This window comes from Homo sapiens, chromosome X (genome assembly GCF_000001405.40).
Source record: "Homo sapiens chromosome X, GRCh38.p14 Primary Assembly".
Classification (NCBI taxonomy): domain Eukaryota; kingdom Metazoa; phylum Chordata; class Mammalia; order Primates; family Hominidae; genus Homo; species Homo sapiens.
In genome coordinates this window covers 152,857,911-152,871,843 of record NC_000023.11, presented here as the reverse complement: position 1 = coordinate 152,871,843, position 13,933 = coordinate 152,857,911, and the positions used below count along the sequence as shown (strand labels likewise).

Sequence of the window (13,933 nt, the reverse complement as noted above, 5' to 3'; positions counted from 1 at the left end):
ACCTGACCTAGGTGCAGATGGGGTCAGGTGCTGAACTAGGTCAGTGTCGATAGGGAAGGGAAGGAAGAGGGATTGAATGCGATCATCCCAAAGGACACGCAGCACTTGGCAATAGGGCTTCTAGCTGTCCCCAATCTGGGAGAGAACTGCCTTCCCTTGGCCCCGATTCTCCAGATGGGATGTGACACGAGGGACAGACATAGGCCTGGGTCCGCACTCTAGGATGCCATCAGCTGTCAGGAAAGAAATGGGTGGGGGTGGCCCCCAGGCCCTGGGCCTGTGAGTAGGGCAAGTTCAGTCTTGCAGCAGCCAAGGGGAGGTTCTAGCTGGACTCAGTGATCTGCAGGAAGGCTTCTTCACTGGTCAGAAACCATCCACAGGGCTTGTGAAGAGAGTGCTGGCCCAAGCCCAGGGTCTCGGTTCAGTAGCTCCGGGGTGGGGCCTGATGGTTTCTAACAAGCTCTCAGCGGGTACTGAGGTTATGGTTTCCTGGTGGTTAGACTTTCTCCAAACGGGTGGGTCGAGATAGGTGTGGGTCAGGAATGCAGGGAAATACAAGGAGCGGCTGGGAGGTCGTCAGCTTGGCCAGCGGGGGGCTCAGGGTCTCTGTGCACAGCCTCACCTTTCGGATCTGAGCAGGCACTGTTTCTGCAACTGTTCTGCCGTGATCGCCACCTGGGCCAGGCTTGCTTGCAGCCCTATGTCCCTCTCATAGCACCCTGCACTTTTCTTTTTTGGAAACTTCAGCAGTTTTGAATAATCTATTGGTCTGTGGGCTGCGTGTTTTATTCACCACTGAAGCGCAGGGCAGGGCCCAACGATTATCTGTGGTCTAATGAGTGAAGAGAGGGCAGAGAAGACGTTCCATGAGGGACATCTTTGGTCTAGATGGCAGCTAGTATTTTTCTGAGCGAGTGGTTAGGTCGAAGCTGAGGGCAGTTTGGTCCTTGGTGCTCATCAGCAAGGTCTGCTGGCCTCACCCACTCCGGGCCCGACACCATCCTCCCACCAGCTTAGAGCTGCTCTGCGGCTTCATTCCAGCCTGAGTGGCCTCCTCCCTCCCTCTCACTCCCCACAGGAAATCAGGTGCTGAGCGCGGACCCCCTCCAGGCCATTTCTTGTAAGGCTTCATTTCTACCCCCAACCCTACCGCCCCCGCCCAACTCCATCATCGCGTGGGCCTTTGTTGCTTCTTGTCTGAAGGCTCCACGTAAGAGCCACGATGGTTTCCTTGATTCTTGGCCACCACTGCCTGGGAGATAAAAGTACATCCCCTTCAGCTTTGCACCATCAGCCAAACCAGGCTGGCACGTCTGTCCTTCACTGAATCTAAGACACCGTTATCTCATGGACCCCTAAGAAACACAACGTGCTGCTAATTAAACTATGACATGCCATTGACTGTGACCCTCTGACATCTTTAGCCTGAAATGCCAACTTCGACAGTGAAGTCTCACTGCTTATCCATTCTTCAAGGTCCGACTCAAGGCATCACCTCCTCGACAGAAGCTGAACATTTACCACTGCGTCTTAAGTGTGTGTATCATGTCCTGCCTGGCATTACAGGGGCTTGCGAACATATCTTAAGTCCATGATTCTAAGTGCCTTAGGGGCAAAGGCTGTCTTATTTATGTTTATATCCCCCTGCCCCATCAGCAGAGGGCAGCACAGTCTCTCCTCATTCCGAGGAATTATCCTCTACGCTATGCCCTTTGGAAACTGGCCTGAAGGGTTCTGAGGGTGAGCTGCAGGGAAGGAGCCCCTCCTGCTCCCTGGCTTACTGTCGCCCAGCCCAGTGTCCCACATTAGGAGAGGAGCTGAACAGATGAAACAGGGTGCCACTGGGCTGGATCACTGCCTTGCCTCTCAAAACAACAGAACTCTGTTGATAAGAGAAATGTTTTGTGAAAACAGTGCAAGCCTGCTGTGGCGGCGCACATTTGCTCTCAGGAGGCTGAGATGGGAGGACTGCTTGAGCCCAAGAGTTCAAGGCTGCAGTGCTCTATGATTGGGCCTGTGATTAGCCAGTGCACTCTCAGCTGGGCAACAGACACACTCAGACTCTGTCTCTACAACGACCACAACAAAAAACAATGCAGGCAGGCACGGCAACGTACCTGAAAGAGAATGTGGAACATGTAAGGAGTTGAACAAGCAACAGAGACTGGGGAGGAATTACAGTCATTTCAGCTTTCAGCTTTTGCTCTAAGCTCACTGTCAGTATGAAATGTATATGTAAAGTCTCACCTGTGTGTTAACAGCTTCTGTTTTTCTTCTGGGATATTTTGAAGATAGAGTATCTTGAACAAAGTCTAGAGGCTTCACTCTAGTATTGGTCTGCATGGAAATGGTTCTCCATCAGAACTAACAAATGGGTTGTAGCTTCCTACAGCTTCCTTGATTATGTACAAGGACACTGGAATGAAATGTATAAACCAGAAGAGGGGGCAAGGGAGGGGGTAAACAGAGAGACACAAAAAGACAGAGAACAAATCGGTATAATATGAAGCTGCCTGCTTCAAGAAATCCAAATCCAGTTCCATGAAGGAAGAAATGTCTGTTTTTGCCGCCCTCATCGTCACGGAAAGAGTAGGGTGCGCTCTCTGCCTAGCAGAAGGAGTCACAGGCTCAGAGCAAACTCATTCAAAGGATGTTATTTCATCAATCCACAGGGGAAGGAGTGACTGGCTGAGCAACGTGTCGAGAGAGCCCAGCCTCCAGTGTCCCTCACTTGACCCTCCGCAGGTGGCGAAAGCTCTGCACGGTCCTCTCCATAGCATCATCCATGGTCACTAGTGGCTGGTAGCCCATGGCCTTTTTGGCTCTCTCGCAGCTGTAGTAGTGGAATGTGCCAGCCAGTGCGACCCGCATGGGTGTGAAGGTGGGCTGCAGCTGGATGACAGGACTGATCACCATCACCAGCAGGGATAGCAGGAGGGCCAGGTAGTAGGCCACCCAGTAGGGGATGTGGTACTTGGGGGCCTCATAATTGAGGCCTGTCAGGATGCGAGACAGGAATGTCCAGAAAGGGATGGGCTCATCATTGGTGATGTGAAATGCCTGGCGGGAGAACAAGAACAAGAAGTTAGAAACACCACCCCCACCTGCCCAAAGTTGAAGCATCTATTAAGCCCGTGCAGATCGCATTCTCACTGCCTAATTGCTGCAGCTTTCCACGTGGCCTGCCCTCAATTGCACAACTGCTAAGGCATAGAAAGGGCAGACAATGAAAGTTTCATCTATGGGCCAGGATTTTAAATGAAGCATAGATTGCACTTGGAAAGGCACATTTGTTAATTTGATAATTGTTAATCATCATAAAACTCATCTACATATCTTTGGATGCAATGAATTCCTCATATTACATTTCTTGACGGTGTTCTGCTTGTTTTAAATCAAAAGCCACACCCGGGCCAGGCGCGGTGGCTCACGCCTGTCACCCCAGCACTTTGGGACGCAGAGGCGGGCAGATCACCTGAGGTCAGGAGACCAGCCTGGCCAACATGGTGAAACCCCGTCTCTACTAAAAGTACAAAAAATTAGCTGAGCGTGGTGGCATGTGCCTGTAGTCCCAGCTACTCGGGAGGCTCAGGCATGAGAATCGCTTGAACCAGTGAGACGGAGGTTGCAGTGAACCGAGATCACGCCACTGCACTCCAGCCAGGGTGACAGAGTGAGACTGTCTCAAAAAAAAAAAAAGAAAAAAAAAATGCCACACCCACCCTATTCCCAACTTATTTGAAGGTTATCAGTGGGGAAACGGCAGAGGTTCAGGAGAATAAAAGAGGACCAAACAGCAAGGGAGGGAGAGACCTGAGGAATGAGTGGGAGAAAGGGTGAGGAGCAAGCACCCTGCCCAATCTACGTGGGCTCCTGCCACAAGGAGCCATGCCAACAGGTGGGCAGCCAGGTCAGGGGACCATAGATGACCGTGACCTGAATGTCTGTTCAATCCCAGCTCGTCAGCTCTCCAAATTTGGCTGCCCAAGTGATGTGACGCTGCAGTGACACCACATGCTCTATCAGAGGGGCTTGATCTTGGCACAGGGGGTCCTAAGGCAGATCCTCCATGATACAGGATCACAGGAGCAACTTGCCAGCAAATCCAATGGCAAGGAGAAGAAACCCGCAGAAAGGCACCTGTGCAGGGACCGGTGCAGCAGGCCTTACCTTCCCACCCAGTGTCGAGTCTCGGGAGAGCTGCTCTGCCGCCAGGATGTGTCCATGGACCACGTTCTCCACAAAGGTGAAGTCCACCAAGTTCTTCCCATTTCTGCAGGTGCACAAGGGATGATGGAATACGTGCTGGGAGCCCCTGCACGAAGGCCAGGGCCACTCCCAAGTCTTGGCATTTGAGAGACTGTGACCTACAGAATGGCTGCCACCTCACTTGGCAAGGCCGGCCCAGGCACTCATGGATGCCTGTACTGGTTAAAGATGTACACTGGGCCGGGACTCCTGGGTCTTCAGGGTTAGTGGAATCTGAAAGCTGGGGGACCTGCCCACCCATTCCAGCATGGCCAACACTGGTGCTGTCTCTCCTGTCCCGATTTGGGTAGCAGCTTTTCAGCCCCTTCCCAGGAGACACGGGGCCAACGCCTTGCTCTGGTCCTCCGTTTATTGACCAGTCTCCCTGTAATCCTTCAAGGTGACAAGTCAGGGTAGCAGTGAGGCTGAGTGAGAAACAGGAAGGCAAGGCAGAGGGAAAAAGGAAGGAAGAGAGAGAGGAGAAAAGGAGGAAATGAAGGAAGAGAAAGCCTATTTGGGAGAGAGGCACACTGTTGTCCCCTGTGGAGGCCCCTCCACCTGCACTTAACCCGAGGAGAAAAGTAATGCCCCCGCCTGCCTTCCCAGATGCAAGGACAGTCAAGCCCTGGCCTTTGACCCGGGGCCCATTGCTTTCCCTCTGAGTCACGGTTTCTTCAATTTCCAAACAGGGTCACAAATACCTTCCCAGCCTACCTGAGAGGGTACACTGGATTGAACAGTATCCTCCCAAAGCTTCTGTCCACTTGGGCCTTGTGAATGTGACCTTATTTGGAAATAGGGGCTCGGCAGATGCAATTAGTTAAGCTGAGCTCATACTGGGGTAGGGTGGGCTTTAAATCCAGGGAATGATGTCCTTATAAGAGGGAAATTTGGACACAGAAAGCAAGGAACACAGCCATGTGAAAGGGACGCAGAGGCAGGAGTGATGCCTCTCCAAGCACAGAATGCTAAGGATGGCTGGAAGCCAGCAGAAGCTAGGGCAGAGGCCTGGAACAGACGCTCCCTGCGAACCTCCAGAAGACACTAGCCCTGCCAACATCTTAACTGAGGACTTCTGGCCTCCCAAAATGTGACAGAATCCATTTGTTGTTTTAAGCACTTACTTTGTGGCAGGTTGTTATGGCAACTACAAGAAATGAATACAGAGGACAGCGGACAAGGTCACTGCTATCGCCTGAATCTTTGCATCCCCGCAACATTCATATGTTGAAACTTAACCTCCAGTGCAATGGTACTGTGAAGAGGGACCTTTAGGGGGTGATTAGGTCATGGGGGCTCTGCCCTCGGGAATGGGATTAGTGTCCTCATAAAAGAGGCCCAAGGGAGCCTGTTTGCCCCTTCCACCATGTGAGGACATGGTGAAAAGGTGCCACTCATGAGGAACAGGGCCTCAATGGACACCCAGTCTGGGAACGCCTTGATCTGGACTTCCCAGCCTCCAAGCTCTCTGTTGTTTGTTACCCAGTCTTAGGTATTTTGTTACAGCAGCCTGCATGGACCAAGACAGTCACATAAGAAAAGAGCTACAATGCCATGTGGCTCCTGCCAAGTGCTCTCTGAATGCGAGCATGGACCAGGAAGGACTAGGGAAGAGCCGCTGTGGGCTGACTCACCCAATCACGAACTTCATCTTGCCGTTCCTGGCTGCCTCGATGAGGATGGGTACCAACTGCGGGTCCCTTGGGCCGAAAATGCCATGAGGGCGGATGGCTGTGGTTAAGAAATTCTTCTCAGGATCGTTGGCGCCCAGAACTGCCTGGAGGAGAGTGGGAGAAGGGGCACGTCCATTGCAAATTCCTAGGCCCAAGCCAAGAGAGTGCCTCGCTGGGTGAGAAGCACCACTCGTGGGGGACAGACAGATGACACACTCTGCTGGCATGTGGCCACTGAGCAGTGGTCTGCCTTGAGCTGACAACCTACATCAGTGGCTGGTATAATTCTGGGCTACCTCTCTACCCCACCCACCCTCACACCAAAATCTGAAAATGCAGGACAGACAGCTGGGCAAAAACTGGTAAGATCAAATCAGAAGGCCCTGGTTTGCGTTCAAAGGCTAAAATCCACCAACACTGCCAGAAGACATGCCTCGGCAGCAGTTTGTGGAAAACGTCCAAAGGTTCTGGCAAACAAGTTAGCCGTGAGCCTCCAGTGACTTGAACTGCATGTGCCGCCCACGTTTCCACCAGGCCGGGTCTGTTCCAGGCAATTCTGAGTATCACCTCCGAGGGGAGGGCTCTGAGAAACCCAAGTGGGCCCAGAAGAGGGTCAGAGAAGGTGAAGGGTCTGAAGACCATGCCTGGGGAGAAACAGGCCAGCAGCTGGGGGGCAAAGGAGGCCGAGACATGTAAAGTCCTCAGAGCAGTGCCTGGTCCAGAGCCAGTGCTCCTGTTGCCACCGCAAGGAAAGGGTGACTTCTGTGTGACTTCATGGACAAACTAGAACTCAAGAGTCTAAAGCACAGTGAAATGGGTTTCGCCTCAAAAGTAACAAAACTTTCCAAAGGATTTGTTTTATCGTGGGTAAAAGTGGTGATCATAAAGGTACCTACCCTGACGGGGCTGCATGCGAATTACACGAGATGGCCCATGTGAGTTGCTTCAGTGCGTGTCTGTATGCTTGGTAAGTACGGTTCCTGCTGTCATGTCACCTCGGGTTTCTTCTACTCTATGGTAGCAAAGTGCTGGTCTATGTTTTGGCCCCAGTGATCTTAAGCAACTCAACAATGGAAAAGCTGCCTCTCAACAGATTCCCAGAGCTGGCCCTCCTCTTCCCGCCAGGACTCTGGTCCCCACAGCGATGGAGGAAATGACTAAATAAACCCTCAAATGGCTTCCACCAAGGCTCATCTCTACTACTAAAGGGAAGAGAGGTGAAGGAGTCCTAGCTCCCCATCACATTTGGTTTATGATCAGTAGGAAGGTTATAAAGCCAACAGTGGATGTCAACCTCGGCTGAAAGGAGGCTTCCGGTGAGTTACTGCTGGAGTCATCTGCAGGCTTTGCTTATTTCCAGTTGAGAACCCAAAAGTTGATATAAGCGAGACACTGATGGTCTGGGCCAAGGCCATCATTTGAAGCTCCTGAGCCTAGATGGGCTCAGCTCTGGTGGCAATCAGTATCAGGCATATTGGGTTGAGAATACACAGGGTCTCCATGGTGACTGAACTGCCTGCAAGGCGCAGGGAGGCTTTAGTACTCCTTGGGCCAAGTTCGAGCACATGAGTGCTCCAAGGAGCAAGACAGCATAGTCTGGAGCCAGGACTGTGGCTTGCCAAAGTTCAAGCCTCCACCCCTGGTCTGGGTGGCCCTTGTGTCTCCCTGTGGACCAGTTCTGCCAGGACTTTCTGAGCTGAAGCAACAGCAGACAGGCTGGGCATGGTGGCTCACGCCTGTAATCCCAGCACTTTGAGAGGCCAAGGCGGGCAGATCATGAGGTCAGGAGTTCGAGACCATCCGACCAACACGGTGAAACCCCGTCTCTACTAAAAATACAAAAATTAGCCGGGCATGGTGGCACGCGCCTGTAATCCCAGCTACTCAGGAGGCTGAGGCAGGAGAATCGCTTGAACCTGGGAGGTGGAGGTTGCAGTGAGCCGAGATCGTGCCACTGCACTCCAGCCTGGGCAACAGAGTGAGAATCCATCTCAAAAAAGAAAAAAAAAAAAAATACGGCAAACAGCCAGGAGGCAGCTGGCTCTCAGGTAGCCAGGTCAGTGTTCAGCTCCAGTACAGCATGTACCGGCTTTGCGAGAAAACCTCAGTGGGTGTGATACACTGCACACACCTGGGAGGGGTATACTCACAGCTACCCAGCTAAGACGAGCTATCCCAGGCTCAGGAGCACTCCTGGCCTGCAGCTTAGGATGGCCTCAGGGTGACAATCCCCATCTGCAGCTAGCAGTTGTCAGGGGCCCCACAGCCCCAGCAGCCTGAAGGCTTGGTAGCGACCGTGGCTGAATCCAACCATACTAAAATCAGGTGCCCTTTGATGAAGCTGTTTTGCCAAGTGGAAAAGTACTTTTTCCTTAAAATAAAGCAAGATCCTTCCGTTGTTTGTTTTTCTAAGTAAGGGAGGGGGTGAGAGTGCCACTAGGAAGGTGCCTCCAGCCTGATTCCTGTCTGCACGCTTGCAACTGCTGTAAATTCCCATAGCAGGCGAGGAAGCTCCCATGGCATTGAGGGTGGGCTGTAAGCTCTGTAGACAGACTGCCTGGGGTCAGCCACCTCCTAGCTGCACAGTTTTAGAAAGGTTCTGAGCCTCTCTGTGCATCTGTGCACCACAGTCTTCATCTATAATCTGGTGATGATGCGATAATTGTGACCTTTAAACAAGGAAAATACTCCTGGAAAACACTCAGAACAGTGTCTGGCCACATAAAGCTGTTCTCATAGTAACTTTTTTTTTTTTGGGAGACAGCGTCTCTCTCTCTCTATCCCCCAGGCTGGAGTGCAATGGCACAATCTCGGCTCACTGCAACCTCCGCCTCCCAGGTTCAAGCAATTCTCATACCTCAGCCTCCCAAGTGGCTAGGATTACAGGCGCCTGCCACCATGCTGGGCTAATTTTTGTATTTTTAGTAGAGATGGGGTTTCGCCATGTTGGCCAGGCTGGTCTCGAACTCCTGACCTCAGGTGATCCACCCACCTCGGCCTCCCAAAGTGCTGGGATTATAAGCGTGAGCCACCGTGCCCGGCCTCTCACAGTATTTTTAAATTTAATTTCACCCACAAATTTTACATCTCAAATCAGGTACGTAGGCCTCAGAATACAAACTTCATAAGTTCATAAACATTTTTCTTAGGATTCTAAACCCTTCAGTCTGCTCACTCAACCAGTTCCAAGGTACATACCCTCTCCTGTAAGATCTTAGTCTCTGTGTAGTAGTCAATGGGTTTCATGGCATAGGGAAGGTCTTCAGTTCCATTCTTGATATCGACGCCCTCAAAGATGACACTGGCACTGCTGGTTAAAATGAGTTTCTGACAGAGGAAGGTCAGAAAAAATAAAAGTCACAAATTATCACAATTCAAACAGTGCATGATCCTGTATGAAAGAGAATCAGGGGCATCCCTTTGTTGCCCTCGCATTCGAGGCACTGAAGAAATTATTTGCTGCAATGCCTTTGCTTTTCATGCCTTCTTAAAATAATCCAAAGATCACCATCTTTTGCAGCTATGTGGATTCCAGACACACTATGTATTACATTCTAACCAAGAATCAAGAGATCTTGGTTTCAAAACAAGGGATAACACATTTTTTCTATCCCATCACACCTGAGAGATAGAATAGACTTGCATTCATGGTATCTCACTATGACAGCGATTCTCTGTTGTAAGTGAAGGGCAGCCCGCAAACTTCTAGGAAGATGTCTGAAAAAGATCACTGGCTATTCTGATAGTGACCTGGCCATGTGAACACACATAGGAATACACACACCACACGACCTCTTAAGAAATGCTATTCTAAAGGAAGATATTCTCTTATGAGGGTCCCCAGCGTCCAGCCTGCTGGTTAAGAGAAGCTCATCCAACACTGAACACCATTAGCATGAATCATATCGTTCCCATTCTTATTCAACATTGTATGAGAAGCTCTAGCCAGAGTGGTAGGGTAAGATAAACACGAATTTATAATGATTTGAAAAGAAACTGAACTTCCATCGCTTACAGATGAGAGAAAAATCTACACAGAAAACACAGGCAAATATGTAGAAAATATTAGCGTTTGGCAAAGTTGCTGAATTAAAAATCAATATACAAAAATTAACTCGTCTTATATATTAGCAATAACTGAAAATGTAATAGAAAGTTATTAAATAACAAAAAACGAAGTACATACAAATAAATTTAACGAGATATGCAAAATCTTTACGAAGTAAAGTATAAAACTCTATTGATGACATTAAAGAGCGAGATAAACAGAAACATATCCCATATTTATGGACAGGAACACTCAATATGGGAAAGATGTCAATTCTCTCCAAAATTACCTACAAGTTCAACACAATTACAACAGCAGTCTCAGCTGGCTTTAGCAAGGAACTGGTTAAGCCAAACATATGTAGAAGAACAAAGGGCTCAGAATAGCCAAGTGAAGTTTGAAGAAATTGGTTGGGGGCGTGATTTATCTACGGTACACTGAGACTTATCCTAAAAAGGCAGAGCTTCTCTGCATGGGCAGACAGGGAGGTCAATGGGGCAGAGGGGAGAGCCTGGGAACAGGCCCATGTAAGACACAAACACCTAAGACATGCTGCAGATGGTGTGCAGCGATGCAGAAAGGATGGATTATGCAATAAATGGCACTGAACTGGTTATACACATGGAAGAAAGTTAGATCTCTATCTCACACCATAAGCAAACATAAATTCCTGGTGGATTAAAGACTGAAATGTGGAAAGCAACACTTAAAACCTTTGAGGAAAAAAAGTACATTAAATAATCTTTTGATCTCAGTGTTGGAAAATGTTCCTTCAATACAACACAGCAATCACTTTCTGCACTCTTACCCACTAAGCCACTCTGCCCCTTCAGTAAATAAACCAGAGTTACATATGCCAAGATGAATAAAGAAAAACATAACACTGGGGAAAAAAGCAAGTTGCAGGAGGATCTGTTCAATAAGATATCATTGTATAAAATCTTATAACATGCAATCCAATACTTTATATTGCTTACACATGGAGCAAATGGAAATAAACCCAAATTCAGAATTGCTATCCATGGCTACAAGAAGAGAGCAATGGCATCGAGGATGGGCACACATTACACATGCCAGTAATGTTGTTTCTTAAATGCTGTGGTGAGTGGAGAGGTGCTGTTTTATTCTCAAATCTTGTTGTTTTTTTAATTTTTTTTTTAAGAGACAAGGTCTTGCTCTGTTGCCTAGGCTGGGGTGTAGTGTTGGGATCACAGCTCACTGCAGCCTGAAAATCCTGGGCTCAAGCGATCCTCCTGCCTCAGCGTCCCGAAACAGTTGAGGCTACAGGTGCATACCACCACACCTGGCTTTTAAAAATTCGTGTAGAGGTGGGGTATTGCTATGTTGCTCAGGCTGGTCTTGAACTCCTTGGCTCAAGGGATCTTCCTGCCTTGGCCTCCCAAAGCGCTGGGATTACATGTGTGAGCCGCCACACCTGGGGCACAAATCTTTGTTGTATGCCCCCAACCTTCCATTTAACAAAGAGCAGCAGGGCCCTTCCCAGGGCTCCAGTTACATCAGCATGGCTGAGTGCAGAGTCTGGGACTTGGAGAATCTGCTTTGACCCCACCTCTCCCATTTACTAGCAAAGAGACATCGTTTAGCCCCTGGTCACCCAACGAGGAGCTAATTAGGTGAAAACTTCAGCAGGGCAAAGCATCTTGTCAACTGCTAGGGGTCAGTTATAAGTGATCTTTTCCAGGGCCCAAGCCCAGAAGAGCTCCAACCCTGCTGGGCCGGCTGAGGATGCTGCGGACCAGCCAACAGTGCCAGGACAGGTTGTTGGGAGAGGAACCCCCTGGCTTGCTTCAAGTTTTTCTCTTAATTTATGCAGTACCTGTGGCATGCATCCCTGTGAGGGTCAGGATACTGAGCTGACAGGGAGCCGTTTTAGCCAGTGGCTGGAGTCCTCTAAAGACAATTCTAAGAACCAGGATTGGTAACGATGCAGCAAGCTATGATGGGCAGAAAATTCGTATCCCCTCAGGCCTGAGTTATAACACGTTTCTATTGGCTAAGGGTAAACACAGTTTGCTTTTCTTTTAAAATATAAGCAAGGTCTGGAAAACAATGTGGTGGCTCCTCAAAAGGTTAAACGTAGAACTAGTATATGATCTAGCAACCCTACTTCTGGGTAGATGCCTGAAAGAATTGAAAACAGGGACTTGAACAGATATTTGTACACTTGTGTTCATAACACTATTGTTTACAATTGCCAAAAGGTGAAGACAACACAGATGTCCATCCATGGCTGAATGAATAAACAAAATGTGGCCCATCCATACAATGAAATATTGTTCTGCCTGAAAAAGGAAGGACATTCCGACACATGCTACAACATGGATGACCCCTGAGGACATCATGCTCGGTGAAAAGCCAGACACAAAAGGAGAAATACTACATGAGTCCACTTCTGTGAGGTCCCTATAGTTGTCAAACCCATAGAGACAGAAAGTAGAAGGGTAGTTGCCAGGGGCTGGGTAGGGAAGGGCGATTGAGGAGTTGCTGTTTAATGGGTATAGAGTTTTTATTAGGGAAGAAGAAAAAGGTTTAGAGATGGATGGTGGTAATGGCTATACAACATTGTGAGTGTACTTAATGCCACTGAACTCCGCACTTAAAAATGGTTAGGATGGTAAATTGTATGTGATATATATTTTATCACAATAAAAATATAAGCAATGTCTAAGTTCTGCAGCTCTTTAACTGAAGGCCAATAGGCTTGAGGTCCTCAGATGTTCTATTTGTGTGCAGTTAGAATATTACATCTCAAATCAGCCTTGGCAAGCAGACCTTCACCATCTCCAGTGACTCCAAGGGCTTCATTTCTAAGATCTTCCCAACACTTTAAGAAGCAACCCCGCCTAGGCCCAGGGAGACTGCAAGAACTACGGCCTTGCACCCTTAGAAAGGGCCATCACGTGCTCCTGACAGCACTCACTCCAGCCTTCCCCTTACCTGAACCCCAGCCTCTTTGCAAGTTTCAATGACATTCTTGGTGCCAATGTAATTCACTCTATAAAAGAGCTCCTTGTTGTTACTGGATGGTGGGGGTGACGCACAGTGGAAAACTGTGTTTACACCTTTCAGAGCTGGGTACAGATCCTGGAAAAGCAAAGAAAGACAAAATAATCATTCCTGCTTTGACAGGTCAATGGCATTCTCATGTTTTCACCCTCCAACCTGTGGCTTGTAGGTTCCTTGTCTTATAATTCTATAATCAATATGGAAATACATTCTCATAAAAGAATCAATGATACCGAAGTACATGGGATGGAAACCAAGTTGTCCCTTTAATCACCTTCTCCCCACTAACTAGTCCCCAGTCAAAAGGGGTTTGGGGCATGAGAAGCCTGTGGGATCCACACAGAGGCAACATCCTTTTGGGTGGTTCAGAGCAGGCACCTAGGAGGTAAAACTCCCCAGGAAGGTGAACTCAGATAGAAATTATGAATCACATGAAAAAGTTCCACACCATTAAAGACAGTAAATAGCCAATACACAGGCATATTCCTTCCTGTGAAACTTGACACAATACAGCAACCTGAAAGGGATTTTTAAAACAGGTCTGTTTGATTTACTGCTAAAAGGAACAAGAGCTCCTGAGAGAAATGGCTGATTGCAGATCTGGGACAGGAAACACACAAGAGGAACCAGGCACACCTTGTACCAGAGAGTGAGGATGCTAGCTAGCTAAGACTACCGGGGTCACGTTAAAAGCACTCAAGGGCCAACCTGAAGAGGTTCCCACTGGGCAAAGAAGGGACAGCTTGACCACAAGCAAGAATAAAAATTCAGGTAAATAAAGGGAAAGAATCAAATATTTATTCTGCATTAAGGTATAAAGACTGGAGCTACTAAATGAAGACTAATAGCATGTCATCATTTTGTCAAACCTTAATTAAGTAATATGATCTAAGTATGATTCATGTTTGTCACCAAAAGACAATTATGACAATTATGT

General features: G+C 48.5%; 1 protein-coding gene across 4 annotated transcripts in view; it reads right to left on the bottom strand.

Annotated features, from left to right (window-relative positions):
• Window positions 2,115-13,933, bottom strand: part of NSDHL (NAD(P) dependent 3-beta-hydroxysteroid dehydrogenase NSDHL) — a 38,667-nt gene continuing 26,848 nt past the window's right edge. For all 4 annotated transcript variants that reach the window (NM_001441099.1, NM_001129765.2, NM_015922.3 and 1 more), the window contains 5 exons: window positions 12,928-13,074; window positions 9,120-9,248; window positions 5,883-6,025; window positions 4,171-4,273; window positions 2,115-3,060 (listed from right to left, as the gene is read on the bottom strand). In NM_001441099.1, coding sequence (NP_001428028.1) covers window positions 2,728-3,060; window positions 4,171-4,273; window positions 5,883-6,025; window positions 9,120-9,248; window positions 12,928-13,074 — 855 coding nt within the window. In that variant the 3' untranslated portion in view covers window positions 2,115-2,727. The remainder of the gene's footprint in view (window positions 3,061-4,170; window positions 4,274-5,882; window positions 6,026-9,119; window positions 9,249-12,927; window positions 13,075-13,933) is intronic.